This window comes from Homo sapiens, chromosome 14 (genome assembly GCF_000001405.40).
Source record: "Homo sapiens chromosome 14, GRCh38.p14 Primary Assembly".
Lineage (NCBI taxonomy): Eukaryota > Metazoa > Chordata > Mammalia > Primates > Hominidae > Homo > Homo sapiens.
The window spans coordinates 67,313,854-67,328,340 of NC_000014.9; the positions used below are offsets into that span (position 1 = coordinate 67,313,854).

Sequence of the window (14,487 nt, forward strand, 5' to 3'; positions counted from 1 at the left end):
GCTCAGTTTATAAACTTCTTGATGTCAGAGGCCAAGTCTTATTTGTTTTAAATCCAGATAATATATGTTAAATTAATGAATAAAAGATGATTTTAAAAGTTCTCAGAAAACAAACAAAAATTAAAAAAAAAAAAAATAGTTCTGCCAGAACTGCTGTTTCTGAATTAGACCTTTCAATGCTTTGCTGTAATGTTTTTCTGGCCTTATCTTTTATCTACAACCTTTTTTAGCGATCATCCCTCCTACTCACACCAGAAGATTTTAAGCATAACAGATTTGGCTATAGACTTAGCCTTACACTGGATTTGACAACAAGCAATAGTTTAGGGGAAAAGAAGAAAAGGAGGGCATGAAAAAAAAGACTGAGAAATATTGACTATGAGATACATAGTAGGAACAGAGGAAGTTGTCCAAAGATTTTAGAATAAGTTATAAGGAATCTCTTTTATCTCTGTAACTAAGCCAAAGAGACTTTTCTGGGTACAAGAGATTTCAACATAATATTTACATTTATTCTTTTTGAGTATAAGGTCACAGAAAGCTTCAAATTTCTCACTTTAAAACTCAGAGGCTAGAAACAGATTTTGTCTATATCAGTCATATTTTAAGGAAGGAGGAATGGACTTCTTACATTTATTTTAGAGTATGATGCTAAAACCCGTGATTCTTCAGAGTAACAGTTACAGGACATTTCTCTAGAATCTTGGAGTGTTGGGTAGCCATTGTGGTTCTGCCTCAGGCTTGTGCCAAATATCAGTATGGTGTCTTCCTACCATGCCGAACTTTAGCCCATAAATGTTTAGAACTAGTGTTTGTTGATAGATTGATTTTCTGAAAGTATATAGATTCCAATGATGACATTTCTAAGTCTTTTTATAAGACTAAAGATCTGCCTTAGAGTTTGACGATGGCTTTCCATCAGAATTAGACAGATTTTTTTAAGAGGTCATTATGAGGCTGGCCCTGGTGGCTCACACCTGTAATCCCAGCACTTTGGGAGGCTGAGGTGGGAGGATTGCTTGAGCCCAGGAGTTTGAGACTAGCCTGGGCCACATAGTGGCATAGCTGACATAATGAGACTTTGTCTCTACAAAAAATTTAAAAATTAGCTGGGCATGGTGGTGCGTACCTGTAGTCCCAGCTATTCAGGAGGCTGAGGTGGAAGGATTGCATGAGGCTGGAAGGTTGAGGCTGCAGTGAGCTTTGATCACACCAGTGTAACAGAGCAGTCTCAGAAAAAGAAAGAAAATCATTTCCATCTCTCATTAATTTCTGCCTCTATTTCAGAATAGCCTATAGTTCATACTACAAAAAGTGCCACAGAAGTACATCATTGTAATGTTTTACATTTTTAATATGTAAATGATTAAAATTACTTTGTTCTTGATTTTTAAAAATCGGTTACTTATTTTTAATTTTTTTTTTTTTTTTTTTTTTTTTTGAGACAAAATCTCGCTCTGTCTCCCAGGCTGGAGTGCAGTGGCATGATCTCAGCTCACTGCAAGCTCCGCCTCCCGGGCTCATGCCCTTCTTCTCTCTCAGTCTGCTGAGCAGCTGGGACTACAGGTGCCCACCACCACGCCCAGCTGATGTTTTGTATTTTTAGTAGAGATGGGGTTTCACCGTGTTAGCCAGGATGGTCTTGATCTCCTGACCTCGTGATCTGCCCACCTTGGCCTCTCAAAGTGTTGGGATTACAGGCATAAGCCACTGCACCCGACCCCTTTAAATTTTAATACTCTTAAAATTTTCCTTCTAGTAATAGTTACTTGTACTAAGAATACAGTCTTGGCCGTGCACAGTGGCTCATGCCCCTAATCCTGGCACTTTGGGAGGCCAAGCAGGAGGATCACCTGAGATTAGGAGTTTAAGACCAGCCTGGCCAACATGGTGAAACCGAGCCTCTACTAAAAATACAACCATTAGCTGGGCATGGTGGCGGGCCCCTGTAATCCCAGCTGCTCGGGAGGCTGAGGCATGCGAATCCCTTGAACCTGGAAGGCGGAGGTTGCGGTGAGCCAAGATTGCGCCACTGCACTCCAGCCTGGGTGACAGAGCGAGACTTCGTCTCAAAAGATAACCAGGCTTCCTTTAATGCTTCTTATGTGTATGGAAGTCAGTATTAATCTTTTTGTTAGTACACTTACGAAATGCACTAAGTTCTACAGATTATCCCCACCTATGTAGAATTTGCTTATTGATTTTTAAGAATCTCTGGCTTTACACTGAAAAAAAGTAGATTTAAAAATAAAATAAAAAAGTGGAACCTCAACGTAATTCAGAATCTTCTAAGTGAAGCCACTTGTATCCTATAGGAAAAGACATATTTGATTTAAAGTAGAAGTCGGAAAAGAAAACCTCTTTCAAGGTCAGGAACCTTGAAAGCCTCCTATATTAAAATATTAATTTTGTAAGGAAAAGCACGTTTTCCATTTATATAATTGGTAACTTAAGGGTGGAAATAAAAAATGGCTAACACATATACATACACAAAAGAAGAGGAATTGAGAATAATGCATGCAAGGGAATATACTGAATGGTTTCTTGGAATTGAATATGGAATTGAATATGTGATGAATGCGCACATGTTGTTTTGGAAAAGTTAATTCCTAGAATTGATATCCTTAATTTGAGATAATTCTAAAGGACCTAGAACCATTGTAAGATCCAGGATAGTACTTTTCCACAAAGTAAATGCTCAATGAAACCTTTTAAAAAGTTGAACTATTAAATTTTTAAATATTTTAGTAGATGATATGTATTCTAATAATACATATGGGATTGATTGAGCAGAGTTAATATTTTAAAAATTTGGAGGCTTACACATCATAGCTGACATTACTCCTGTGTTGGCAAAAGGATTTGGAAGGGAATATAAGTGAAGAGATATGTCTAGTGTTTTCCCTTCTTGATTAAAAAAAAAATTCTTATCCTTTTATCTTAAATATTTTACCCTTCTTTTTCTTTCTGCTATTAAGGGAAAAGCTTTCAGCAGCAAAGGGAAGCCATGAAACAAACCATAGAAGAAGATAAGGAGCCAGAAAAATCAGGTTAGACACTTGTATTTGACATAAGTAAATGGTTTCTTGGGTCTTCATCTGGAGCCATGTGTGAATCTGCATATTAGAACCGTGAAGAAGTACTCAGGGAAAGAGTGATACAAGAGGCAAAACTGATTATCTCAGAACTGTAAAGAAAGGATAAGATTTAAGTATTAAAGATTATCTGTCTATACTGTGTAGTTAATTGAAAATTGTAAATGCTTTCCTGAAAAATAGTCTTTATACAAACAGTGTAATAAGTATTTATAAAAGTAAATTAAAAACAAGCTGGGTGTGGTGGTTTGCACCTGTAATCCCAGCACTTTGGGAGACTGAGGCGGGAGGATCACTTGAGGCCAGGAGTTCAAGACAAGCGTGGCCAACATATGGAGATCTCGTTTCTGCAAAAAAATTTAAAGAATAAATGAATGAATAAATAGAGTTCTTCAATTTGAGTTATGTGGTTTTGTTCACGGGAACACATTTATAGTTATGTTTATGATTGCTCAACAGGAAAACTGTGGTGTGCAAAGAAGAATAAAAAGAAGAGGAAAAAGGTTTTATATAATGCCAATAAAAATGATGGTAAGTTCTACTCTCAGGGATAGGTGGAATTATATCTGAAAGGAGTCTAAACCTAGTCCTGTTTTGCACCTTAATGTTAAATATGTGCTTGAGAAAATCATTTAGTAGAAAGTATTTTCTTTTGGAATCCTGTGAGTAAGGCAGTGTTTTGAATTCTGGGGAAAACTGATACAAAAATTCAAGTACTATTTAGCATATGTAGTATTAAATTGACAGTTTCCTGTAGTTTTTTTCTACTTAAACTCTTTGCAAAAATTATACTTCTAACAAATTCTTACAGAACATACTTGAAGTAAAAACTATGTCCTCTACAATAGCTCATGTCACAGAAGCAACTCATTCCTGAGAACCCACTACCTGCTGGCTAAGTCAGACACACAAGAGAATTTTAGTTTTATTTTGATTGATTGCTAAGATTAAAAAGCTCGAAAGTTGTAGCTTCTCTTAAAATCAAAAGCTCTGATAATGTTGGGCTAGTATTCCTAGGTGACAACAGTCTGCTGGACCTGAGTGATGACTGTTGCTCTTATATCAAGCACCTGGTGTCTAGTTTAACAGTCTCTACCACTCCCAGTGTTTTATTAACCCAACCTGATTTACTGATTTTATTACCTCCTTAGTTTGTTTTTATGGGCATTTGAGTTTGCTACTTCTGTTTGGTTCACATTAGAAGCAACCCAAATAATAAAGCAAAGGCTTTCCTTCTTATGTAATTTATAAGGCTTTTCTGTCAAGAATTTGAAATATTTGGGAGCAGCACACATTAAACTAATAAAGATAAAACATTATAGATCATTATAATATTCCATAAAAGCTAAATGAGGTTTGATCAACTTTAATAAATTTTTTTCTAAAATAAATATCCTTTAATGCTAATTGACAGATTATGTAACTAAAAAGATTTAATGAGTTTTAAATTTTATCCTCTATATTTGTGATTAATATCTCTTTTATTTTTTGAAACAGACTGAAGTTAACTAGTCCAGCTCTAAGAGCTACTGTACTGTAGAAAACGTGGCAAATCTGAACCTTATGGATATACACACTGAGTCTATAAATTAAAATGCTACCAGTCTTGATTATACGTGTTAGAATAAACTCAGATTTTTCAGAGAAAATCATTTTGAGAGGAGAAGGAATTACATTTGCTGTTTATGATGATGTCATCATCATGAATATTTTTAAATAAATAACTACAATTCATAATAACTGCTGTATTCCAGGGCAGTAACTATATGATGTTGTTCTCACAAACTCCTTGAGGTTACAGAGTAATAGATTCAAGTTTAGATATTAGGCCGGGCGCGGTGGGTCATGCCTGTAATCCCAGCACTTTGGGAGGCCGAGGCAGGCGGATCACGAGGTCAGGAGATGGAGACCATCCTGGCTAACATGGTGAAACTCCATCTCTACTAAAAAATACAAAAAATTAGCCAGGCGTGATGGCGGGTGCCTGTAGTCCCAGCTATTCGGGAGGCTGAGGCAGGAGAATGGCGTGAACCCGGGAGGCGGAGCTTGCAGTGAGCCGAGATCGCGCCACTGCACTCCAGCCTGGGCGACAGAGCGAGACTCCGTCTCAAAAAAAAAAAAAAAGTTTAGATATTAAAGTGATTTGCTGAAATTCTTAACAACTAATACATGATTGGTTGAGCTGGAATTTAAACAAGTGTAGTTTGAGCTCCTGCTCTGTGCCAGGCTCTGTGCTGAGCATTGACAAGCCTAAGATGGTCCCCTAACCTCATGGAAATAGAGCTGAGGGAGTCTGACTTCACATCTGATGCTCCTTCACAGTCAGGAGAAGTAATATGAGTGAGGACTTGGCAGGCTACTAGTTATCTGCTTTTGTTCTTACCACTTGACAGCTCTGGTTTCATCTGGATTATGGGCTTTAGGAATGTTACCCCACCTGTCATAATTTATACCTCATTTTGATTCATGACTCTGGGTTAGCATTCCAGAGTAGAGTAAACATAAATGCAGAAAGTGGAGATAGCATGCATATGGCCTGTTTTCAAGTTATACAACTACAGCAGGGGTATCCAATCTTGTGGTTTCCCTGGGCCACATTAGAAGAAGAATAGTCTGGGGCCACACGTAAAATACACTTAACACTAGAGATAGCTGATGAGCTAAAAAAAAAAAAAAAAAAATTGCAAAACAATCTCACAGTGTTTTAAGAAAGTTTACAAATTCGCATTGGGCCCCATTCAAAGCCGTCCTGGGCTGCATGCAGCTCATGGGCCACGGGTTGGACGAGCTTGAACTATAGGAAAGTATTCCAGCTTTCTCTGATAACACTGGTTGTAGCCACTATATGTAAATGTCGGTCTATGCTAGCCATTGTATTCAGCGTATACATTATGTCTGATTCTTAAAACAACCTTCTTAAGTAGAATATTAATATCTGCATTCTTCAAAAATGACGGATATTACTCTTACTAGTTCATTCCCTGGTACCGCATCCTTATTCAAAGTATTGACTGCAAATTAGCTGTTTAATGTAAGAATCAGTATAATTATATTGTATTAGACATTCAAGCATGAATTTTTTATTTCAAATATGAAATGAGATAAAAATTAATAGAAGGAGTATTATATTGTTGTCTGATTCATTTTCATGATACCCTAGCAAGGATGTAATGACAATAAATTGTGCTTTTGTCTAATTTTGGGTGAAGATCTATGAGTATTTATATCTTTAATACATGGCCATAATTTTGTTTGAAGAGCTTAACTTTTTTTTCCCAAAGATTATGACAACGAGGAGATCTTAACCTATGAGGAAATGTCACTTTATCATCAGCCAGCAAATAGGAAGAGACCTATCATCTTGATTGGTCCACAGAACTGTGGCCAGAATGAATTGCGTCAGAGGCTCATGAACAAAGAAAAGGACCGCTTTGCATCTGCAGTTCCTCGTAAGTTTGAATGCATTCCCATTTTCCTGTGCTTTTCAATTTACCAGCTCAGAACCTAACTATATCATGTAGGGAAATTTTTTATTCATTTCATTAAAACACTGTTGTCAGTGAAAGAGGAACTTTAACCAAAGATTTTGACAATTTTTAAATTAAAAATAGTCATTATTAAGAAATTTAAATTTGTCCTTCAAGTATGTACTGATTATTTTCTAAACAAATTTCAGTTTGGGCCCCTTATAATTTCCTGTTCCATAGAGAATCAGTTCCTGCTGCTTTAAAGTGATACAGAAGATAGAAACTTAGGCATAATCTGAAACAGAAGTTATAAGATTATATGGTACCTAATCTTATGGAGATAAACTTTAGGAGAAGATGAGTAGTAGTGTTTTAAATGCAGGATGAAGTAACTTGAAGTGTAAGCATAAAATGTATTGAGATAAATATAACTATTACTAAGATACTACAAACTCATTTTTGTTCATTTTTCAATCTACAAAAAATAAAAACAATGTTAAACATGTAGGCACTTAGCATTTTCTCAGTTTATTATTTTATAATCTGTGTTACAAAATAGAAATTCTTTCTGACTAGCAGAATTATCCCCTGTCCTCACTCTAAGCCATGCCTGTTATTTCTATCTGATTTTGTTTGCCTAGATACAACCCGGAGTAGGCGAGACCAAGAAGTAGCCGGTAGAGATTACCACTTTGTTTCGCGGCAAGCATTCGAGGCAGACATAGCAGCTGGAAAGTTCATTGAGCATGGTGAATTTGAGAAGAATTTGTATGGAACTAGCATAGATTCTGTACGGCAAGTGATCAACTCTGGCAAAATATGTCTTTTAAGTCTTCGTACACAGGTAAAGCTAGAACTTTGTTTTAGGGTTTGAACTTAGAAGGAATGTCATATAGAGTAATCTAGTGGAAGCTATATTTTGGTCCAAGAACAGCGCGACCTAATTAAGTTCTCATACGGTTTTTCCCACTGATTTGCTATCTGAAATCACACAGGTTGCTAAATCTCTTTCAGTTTCCTCAGAGGGAAAACATATACATACTTACATATACAGGTTGACTATCTCTTATTCAAAATGCTTGAGACCAGAGTGTTTTGAATTTCAGAATTTCTCAGATTTTAGAATATTTGCATATATATAATGAGCTATCTTGAGGATAGACCCAAGTCTGAAATTAAATTCATTTATCTTTTATATACACCTTATTTACTTAGCCTGAAGGTAATTTTATTTTTCCTGGGGATATTGAATAAACTGTCTGCTCCTGTATTTTGACTATGACCCGTCACATGAGGCCAGGGTAACGTTTTCCACTTGTGCTGTCATGTCACTGCTCAGAAAGTTTCAGATTTTGCATTTCAGATTTTTGGATTAGAGATGTTCTGCTTGTATATATGCTTGTATGTATGTTCTGAAACTTAAAATACAGTAAATATAGTATTGGTAGTACTTTAATTTGAGTCTATGAAATAATTTCCCTTTTCTGATTCCGATATGAGAAAAATTAGAAAATTTCAAGATTATTTTTATGGTTTAAATGCCATTGTTCAAATATTAACAAGTATCACAGTGAATGCTTGGTTGTATGAAAATAATGAGACCTCAGTTTCACTTATTTGGCAGACTAAGCAAAAGTGTAAAATTACTAACTAGTGCCTCTTAGCTTTCTATTTAAAATGATAATTTTAGGACGCCAATGTGGGTGGATCACTTGAGTTCAGGAGTTCCAGACCAGCCTGGGCAACACGGCAAAGCCCCATCTCTACCAAAAATTAAAAAAAATTAGCCAGGTGTGGTGGCATGCACCTGTGGTCCCAGCTGCTTGGGAGGCTGGGGTGGGAAAATCGCCTGAGCCAGGGAGGCGGAGATTGCAGTGAGCTGCACTGCACTCCAACCTGGGTGACAGAGTGAGCAGAGTGAGACTCTGTCTGAAAAACAAAAACAAAAAAACCTAATTTTAGAAACTTGGAGTTTTTAAGAAACTCCAAATGTTACGGAAAATTGTTTAATTTTTGTAGACCATACAGCTTTAGCATACGACTTTCCTTAATGTGGTAGAATCTGCTGCTCATGTCAAATTAGGCAACATAGTCAGTGGTCATTAAAGAGATGTACATAAAGGAGAATTGACTCTAAAATGGCTATTCTAAAATAGTAATTAGGGATTTTTGTTTGTGTTTTAGTGGACAAATGCACTTAGGCTCTACTATTTCAATTATAAATTTTTGATTTAAGAGAAGTATACATGTTTTTACTAAATTTCTTTAGAGTTCTTTATATTATTTGGGCAAACAGGTTTTTAAAATTCTTATTTCTCCAGAAAAAAGGGCTAACAGATTTTAACAAAGAACTCAGCATATTGTTTTAATCATCTTAATGTTTTTAGATAGCAATGGCATATTCCTATAATCTCCATTTTGATAGAGCGTGTCAGTTTGAGCACACACAGTCATGCATTGGTAATCAAGTGAAAACTGCAATCTCCAGATTCAAACATAGTCTACTTTTTCTTGGATGTGCTTTTCTTGAATTGTCTTGCACATGTGAAGTTATGTTCTATGATTTTGCTTATATTTAGTGTCTGGCACATAGTAAGGCAACTTGTATGATTCTAATTGCTCCAAAATTGATTTTTAATATGGTTATTGTAATCTGTATGTGATCTTATTATTAAAACTAGGTGTTTTAATATCACATAGTTGTCATCCTTCAGTATCATTCACTTACATTTCATTACATAAAAGAGCAAGCTAAAATTATATGTATATAATATGTATTATATGTGTATATATATACATATATACACATATATACACGTGTGTGTGTGTGTGTGTGTGTGTGTGTGTATATATATATATGGCTTCACAGTATATTCTTACAGTGAATGGTAGGATCTTAAAAATATTGTGAATTGGGCCAGGTGCAGTGGCTCATGCCTGTAATCCCAGCACTTTGGGAGAGACCAAGGCAGGAGCATTGCTTGAGGCCAGGAGTTCAAGACCAGCCTGGACAACAAAGCGAGATCCTGTCTCTACAAAAAAGTAAAAAGTTAGCTGAACATGGTGGTGCATGCCTATAGTCCTAGCTACTGGGGATGCTGAGATGAGGGGCCACTTGAGTGCAGCAGATTGAGGTTGCAGAGAGCTGTGATCACACCACTGCACTCTAGCCTAGGCAACAGAGCAAGTCCCTTAATCTAATATATATATATATATATATATCAGTATTATTAGGAAGTAATTAAATGATGCAAATTATTTTAAAAATCAAAATGTCTCTTTACAGTCATTGAAGACTCTCCGGAATTCAGATTTGAAACCATATATTATCTTCATTGCACCCCCTTCACAAGAAAGACTTCGGGCATTATTGGCCAAAGAAGGCAAGAATCCAAAGGTAAAGTTTTCACACTATTGTACTATTCCATTGAAGGTAAACATGAAACAGTCCTGGTCTAATTTGTCCTGGTGCTTAAAAGCTACATTAGCTTGAGCTTTCAAACTGATTATTTTTTCTGTAATATTACTTGCCCAAAAATTGCCATGGTTGCCACTGGGTTGGACTATGGCAGCTTTCCAAAGTTGGGGCATCTACATTTGGTAACCTTTGAGCGTCTTCACATGGGTCTGTGACATTTCTAGGGAGATGTGACTGCCACCAAAGTTATCAGCCAACTCTTCAGGATTACTGACTTTTCTCTGTAGATACTCCACATTTTCAGGGAGCCAAATTTGAGTGCTCTTGCTTTTCTCTTCTTTTTATCCCACTGAAACTTTATGTTCTGCTTTTTTTCTCCCTTTGGTCTTCTCACATGGTTTGGAACAGAAAAATTTTTTTAAATTATTTTAGATCTATGCTAGATATGGTTGAGGTAGTCCATGTCATATTAAACATTAATAATTGACTGATAACATGTTATTAATAAGACAGCATTGACTTTTTATTTAAATATGTAAGATGGTAACTCTGTCAGGTGACTTACTGTATCAGAGTAACATGTTCTTCCTTGTTTTTTTTGCTCCATATTTATTAAATAGATCTACTTTTGAGAGGGCTCACTCAGATTGCCTCATTTCATTGACTATGCCTTTAAATCTCCTTAAAGATAGTCATTAAAAGCATATTTACACTCCTTTCTTTTGATTGTTTTTTTTGTTGTTGTTGTTGTTTTGGTCGTTGCTGTTTTGAAATAGGGTCTTACTCTATTGCCCAGGCTGGAGTGTAGTGGCATGTTCATGGCTCACTGCAGGCGCAGACTCTGGGCCCACGTGATCCTCTCACCCCAGCCTGTCCAAGTGGCTGGGACTATAGCCATGCACCACCATGCCTGGCTAATTTTTTATGTATTTTATAGAGACAGGGTCTCGCTATGTTGCCAGGTTGGTATTGAACTCCTGGCCTCAAGAAACCCTCCTTCCTGCCTCAGCCTCCCAAAGTTCTTGGATTGCAGGTGTAAGCTACCACGCCCAGCCTTCCTTTCATTTTTTTTTTTTTTTTTTTTTTTTTGAGACTGAGTCTTGCTCTGTCACCCAGGCTGGAGTGCAGTAGCGCAATCTCGGCTGACTGCAAGCTCCGCCTCCCAGGTTCACGCCATTCTCCTGCCTCAGCCTCCCTAGCAGCTGGGACTACAGGTGCCCACCATCATGCCTGGCTAATTTTTTTGTATTTTTAGTAGAGACAGGATTTCACCATGTTAGCCAGGATGGTCTTGATCTCCTGACCTTGTGATCCACCCGCCTTGGCCTCCCAAAGTGCTGGGATTACAGGCGTGAGCCACCAGGCCCAGCCTCCTTTCATTCTTGACTGTCCACCACAACACATTAACCCTTCCTCTTCCTCTTCACCCTCCAAAATATCTTTTTTCACTCTATGTCTACTTAACATTTCTTAATCTATATGTGAGGTTAAGAAATGATATATATATATCATCCTACATGATGAGCATAATTCTGGTTGCTTTGTCTAGGCTAAGTAGGCTAGCTGGTTAAAGTAGTGCTGCACCCCTTTTTCATTTCCGCCATATACCTACAAATTCTTAAGTAACTGGGGTCAGAGTATTTGTTGTCCATAGCACTTGGGATGATACAAAGGAAATAGGCAGCATGGTCACTGGCTGTTCTTGAGGAGGATCACAATATAACAAGAGAAACGAGATTAATACTGTGTAAAATTTAGTGTCCAATAACTACTTTGGTAGAACAGAAACTCCATGGTTGTTCAAGGAAAAGGATGCGCACTAAGGACCAGAGTGTACTCCATGCTTCCTGTTCAGCCTAATTTTCCACTTCCTAACATGCACACTTATTTCTTTTTAGGCTATCTTTTTTTCCAACAAGGATTTGCTATCATATGAAGGGCCATAGACCATTCCAAAACATGTTAAACATGTTAAGCATCTTTTTTTTTTTTTGAGACAGAGTCTTACTCTGTCGCCCAGGCTGGAATGCAGTGGCGTAATCTTGGCTCACTGCAACCTCCGCCTCCTGGGTTCGAGCTATTCTTCTGCCTCAGCCTCCCGAGTAGCTGGGATTACAGGCACCTGCCACCACACCCGGCTCTTTTCTTTTTTTTTTTTTTTTTTTGTATTTTTAGTAGAGACTGGGTTTCACCGTGTTAGCCAGGATGGTCTCGATCTCGTGACCTCGTGATCCAGCCTCCTCGGCCTCCCAAAGTACTGGGATTACAGGCGTGAGCCACCGTGCCCGGCCAGCATCTTTCTTTTGGTTGGTCTCTGGCCGTGTTCTAATGGAATTTTTATCTACTTCACTTTGAATTGGCCATCCTAAAATTTCAATTTAGGTCTGATTTTTTTTTTTTTTTTTTTTTTTTTTTTTTTTTTTTTTGAGAGGAGATTCTATATGTCACCCAGACTAGAGTGCTGTGGCATGATCATAGCCTTGAACTCCTGGAGTCAAGTGACCCTCCCGTCTCAGTATAGGCATGTGCCACAGGTCCTAGCTTATACATATTTTTAAAGCAGGAAGTTGATCAGTACCAAAATGTTTTAACAATATGCAATATATTTGATTTTCTAATTAGAACTTTCTGATTCTTTTACTTTGCTGAAGTATATTTTACCTACAATACATGCATTTTAGTTGTATAATTCAGCAAGTTTTGGAAATGTGTACCTGTGTAACCACCATGCCAATCAAGATTTAGAACATTTCTATCACTCTAGATAGTTTTCTTATGCCCCTTTGAAGTTAATACCCCTCCATTCTTTCTTTCTGGCAACCACTAATCTGCTTTCTGTCACTATAGATTTGTTTGATCTGTTCTAGAAGTTCATATAAATAGAAGCATGCCGTTTGTTAAAGTTTGTGTCTGGCTTTTGATCAACATGTTTTTGAGATTGATCTGTGTTGCATCTAACAGCAGTTCATTCCCTCTTAATGCTGAGTAATATACTATGATATTAATATACCACAATTTATCCATTCTTCAGTTAAAAAATATTTGGATAAAATTTTGAGGGCCGGGCACAGTGGCTCACGCCTGTAATCCCAGCACTTTGGGAGGCCGAGGCGGGCAGATCACTTGAGGTGAGGAGTTTGAGACCAGCCTGGCTAACATAGTGAAACCCCGTCTCTACTAAAAATACAAAAGTTAGCCGGGTGTGGTGGCATGCACCTGTAATCCCAGCTACTTGGGAGGCTGAGGCCGGAGAATCACTTGAACCCGGGAGGTGGAGGTTGCAGTGAACCGGGATTGCGCCACTGCACTCCTGCCTGGGCAACAGAGTAAGACTCTCAAAAAAAAAGAAAAAATTTTTTTTGAGCTAGTATGACTGAAGCTGCTCTAAACATTCATAAAGTCTTTTTGTAGACCTATGTTTTCATTTCTCTTGGATAAACACCTAGGAGTAGAATTGCCGGATCAAGTGAGGTAAATGTATGTTTTAATTGTATAAAAAACTGCTAAACTGTTTTTAGTTTACTAAATTGATATAAAAGGCGGGGTACAGTGGCTCACACCTGTAATCCCAGCATTTTCAGAGGCCAAGGAGGACGGATCACTTTTTTTTTTTCCGGGGTGTGGGGGGAAGGTTTTAAATGTATTTTTATTTTATTTTTTTATTTTTTTATTATACTTTAAGTTCTAGGGTACATGTGCACAACATGCAGGTTTGTTACGTATGTATACATGTGCCATGTTGGTGTGCTGCACCCGTTAACTCGTCATTTACATTAGGTATATCTCCTAATGCTATCCCTCCCCTCTCCCCCCACCCCACAACAGGCCCCAGTGTGTGATGTTCCCCACCCTGTGTCCTGGTGTTCTCATTGTTCAGTTCCCACTTATGAGTGAGAACATGCAGTGTTTGGTTTTCTGTCCTTGTGATAGTTTTCTCAGAATGATGGTTTCCAGCTTCATCCATGTCCCTACAAAAGACATGAACTCATCCTTTTTTTGGCTGCATAGTATTCCATGGTGTATATGTGCCACATTTTCTTAATCCAGTCTATCATTGATTTGGGTTGGTTCCAAGTCTTTGCTATCGTAAATAGTGCTGCAGTCAATGTACGTGTGCATGTGTCTTTATAGCAGCATGATTTATAATCCTTTGGGTATATACCCAGTAATGGGATGGCTGGGTCAAATGGTATTTCTAGTTCTAGATCCTTGAGGAATCACCACACTGTCTTCCACAATGGTTGAACTAGTTTACGGTCCCACCAACAGTGTAAAAGTGTTCCTATTTCTCCACATCCTCTCCAGCACCTGTTGTTTCCGACTTTTTAATGATCGCCATTCTAACTGGTGTGAGATGGTATCTCATTGTGGTTTTGATTTGCATTTCTCTGATGGCCAGTGATGATGAGCATTTTTTCATGTGTCTGTTGGCTGCATGAATGTCTTCTTTTGAGAAGTGTCTGTTCATATCCTTTGCCCACTTTTTGATGGGATTGTTTGATTTTTT

The 14,487-nt window shown here is 37.6% G+C and overlaps 2 protein-coding genes across 14 annotated transcripts in view; both read left to right on the forward strand.

Moving 5' to 3' along the window:
- GPHN (gephyrin) overlaps positions 1-14,487 on the forward strand; it is a 1,227,209-nt gene that overhangs the window by 805,707 nt on the left and 407,015 nt on the right. The gene's annotated exons all lie outside the window — the stretch shown is intronic.
- The window catches only part of PALS1 (protein associated with LIN7 1, MAGUK p55 family member), a 94,627-nt gene that overhangs the window by 72,419 nt on the left and 7,721 nt on the right, over positions 1-14,487 (forward strand). For all 13 annotated transcript variants that reach the window (XM_047431691.1, XM_047431692.1, XM_011537086.3 and 10 more), the window contains 5 exons: positions 2,979-3,050; positions 3,555-3,626; positions 6,377-6,544; positions 7,204-7,406; positions 9,849-9,959. In XM_047431691.1, coding sequence (XP_047287647.1) covers positions 2,979-3,050; positions 3,555-3,626; positions 6,377-6,544; positions 7,204-7,406; positions 9,849-9,959 — 626 coding nt within the window. The remainder of the gene's footprint in view (positions 1-2,978; positions 3,051-3,554; positions 3,627-6,376; positions 6,545-7,203; positions 7,407-9,848; positions 9,960-14,487) is intronic.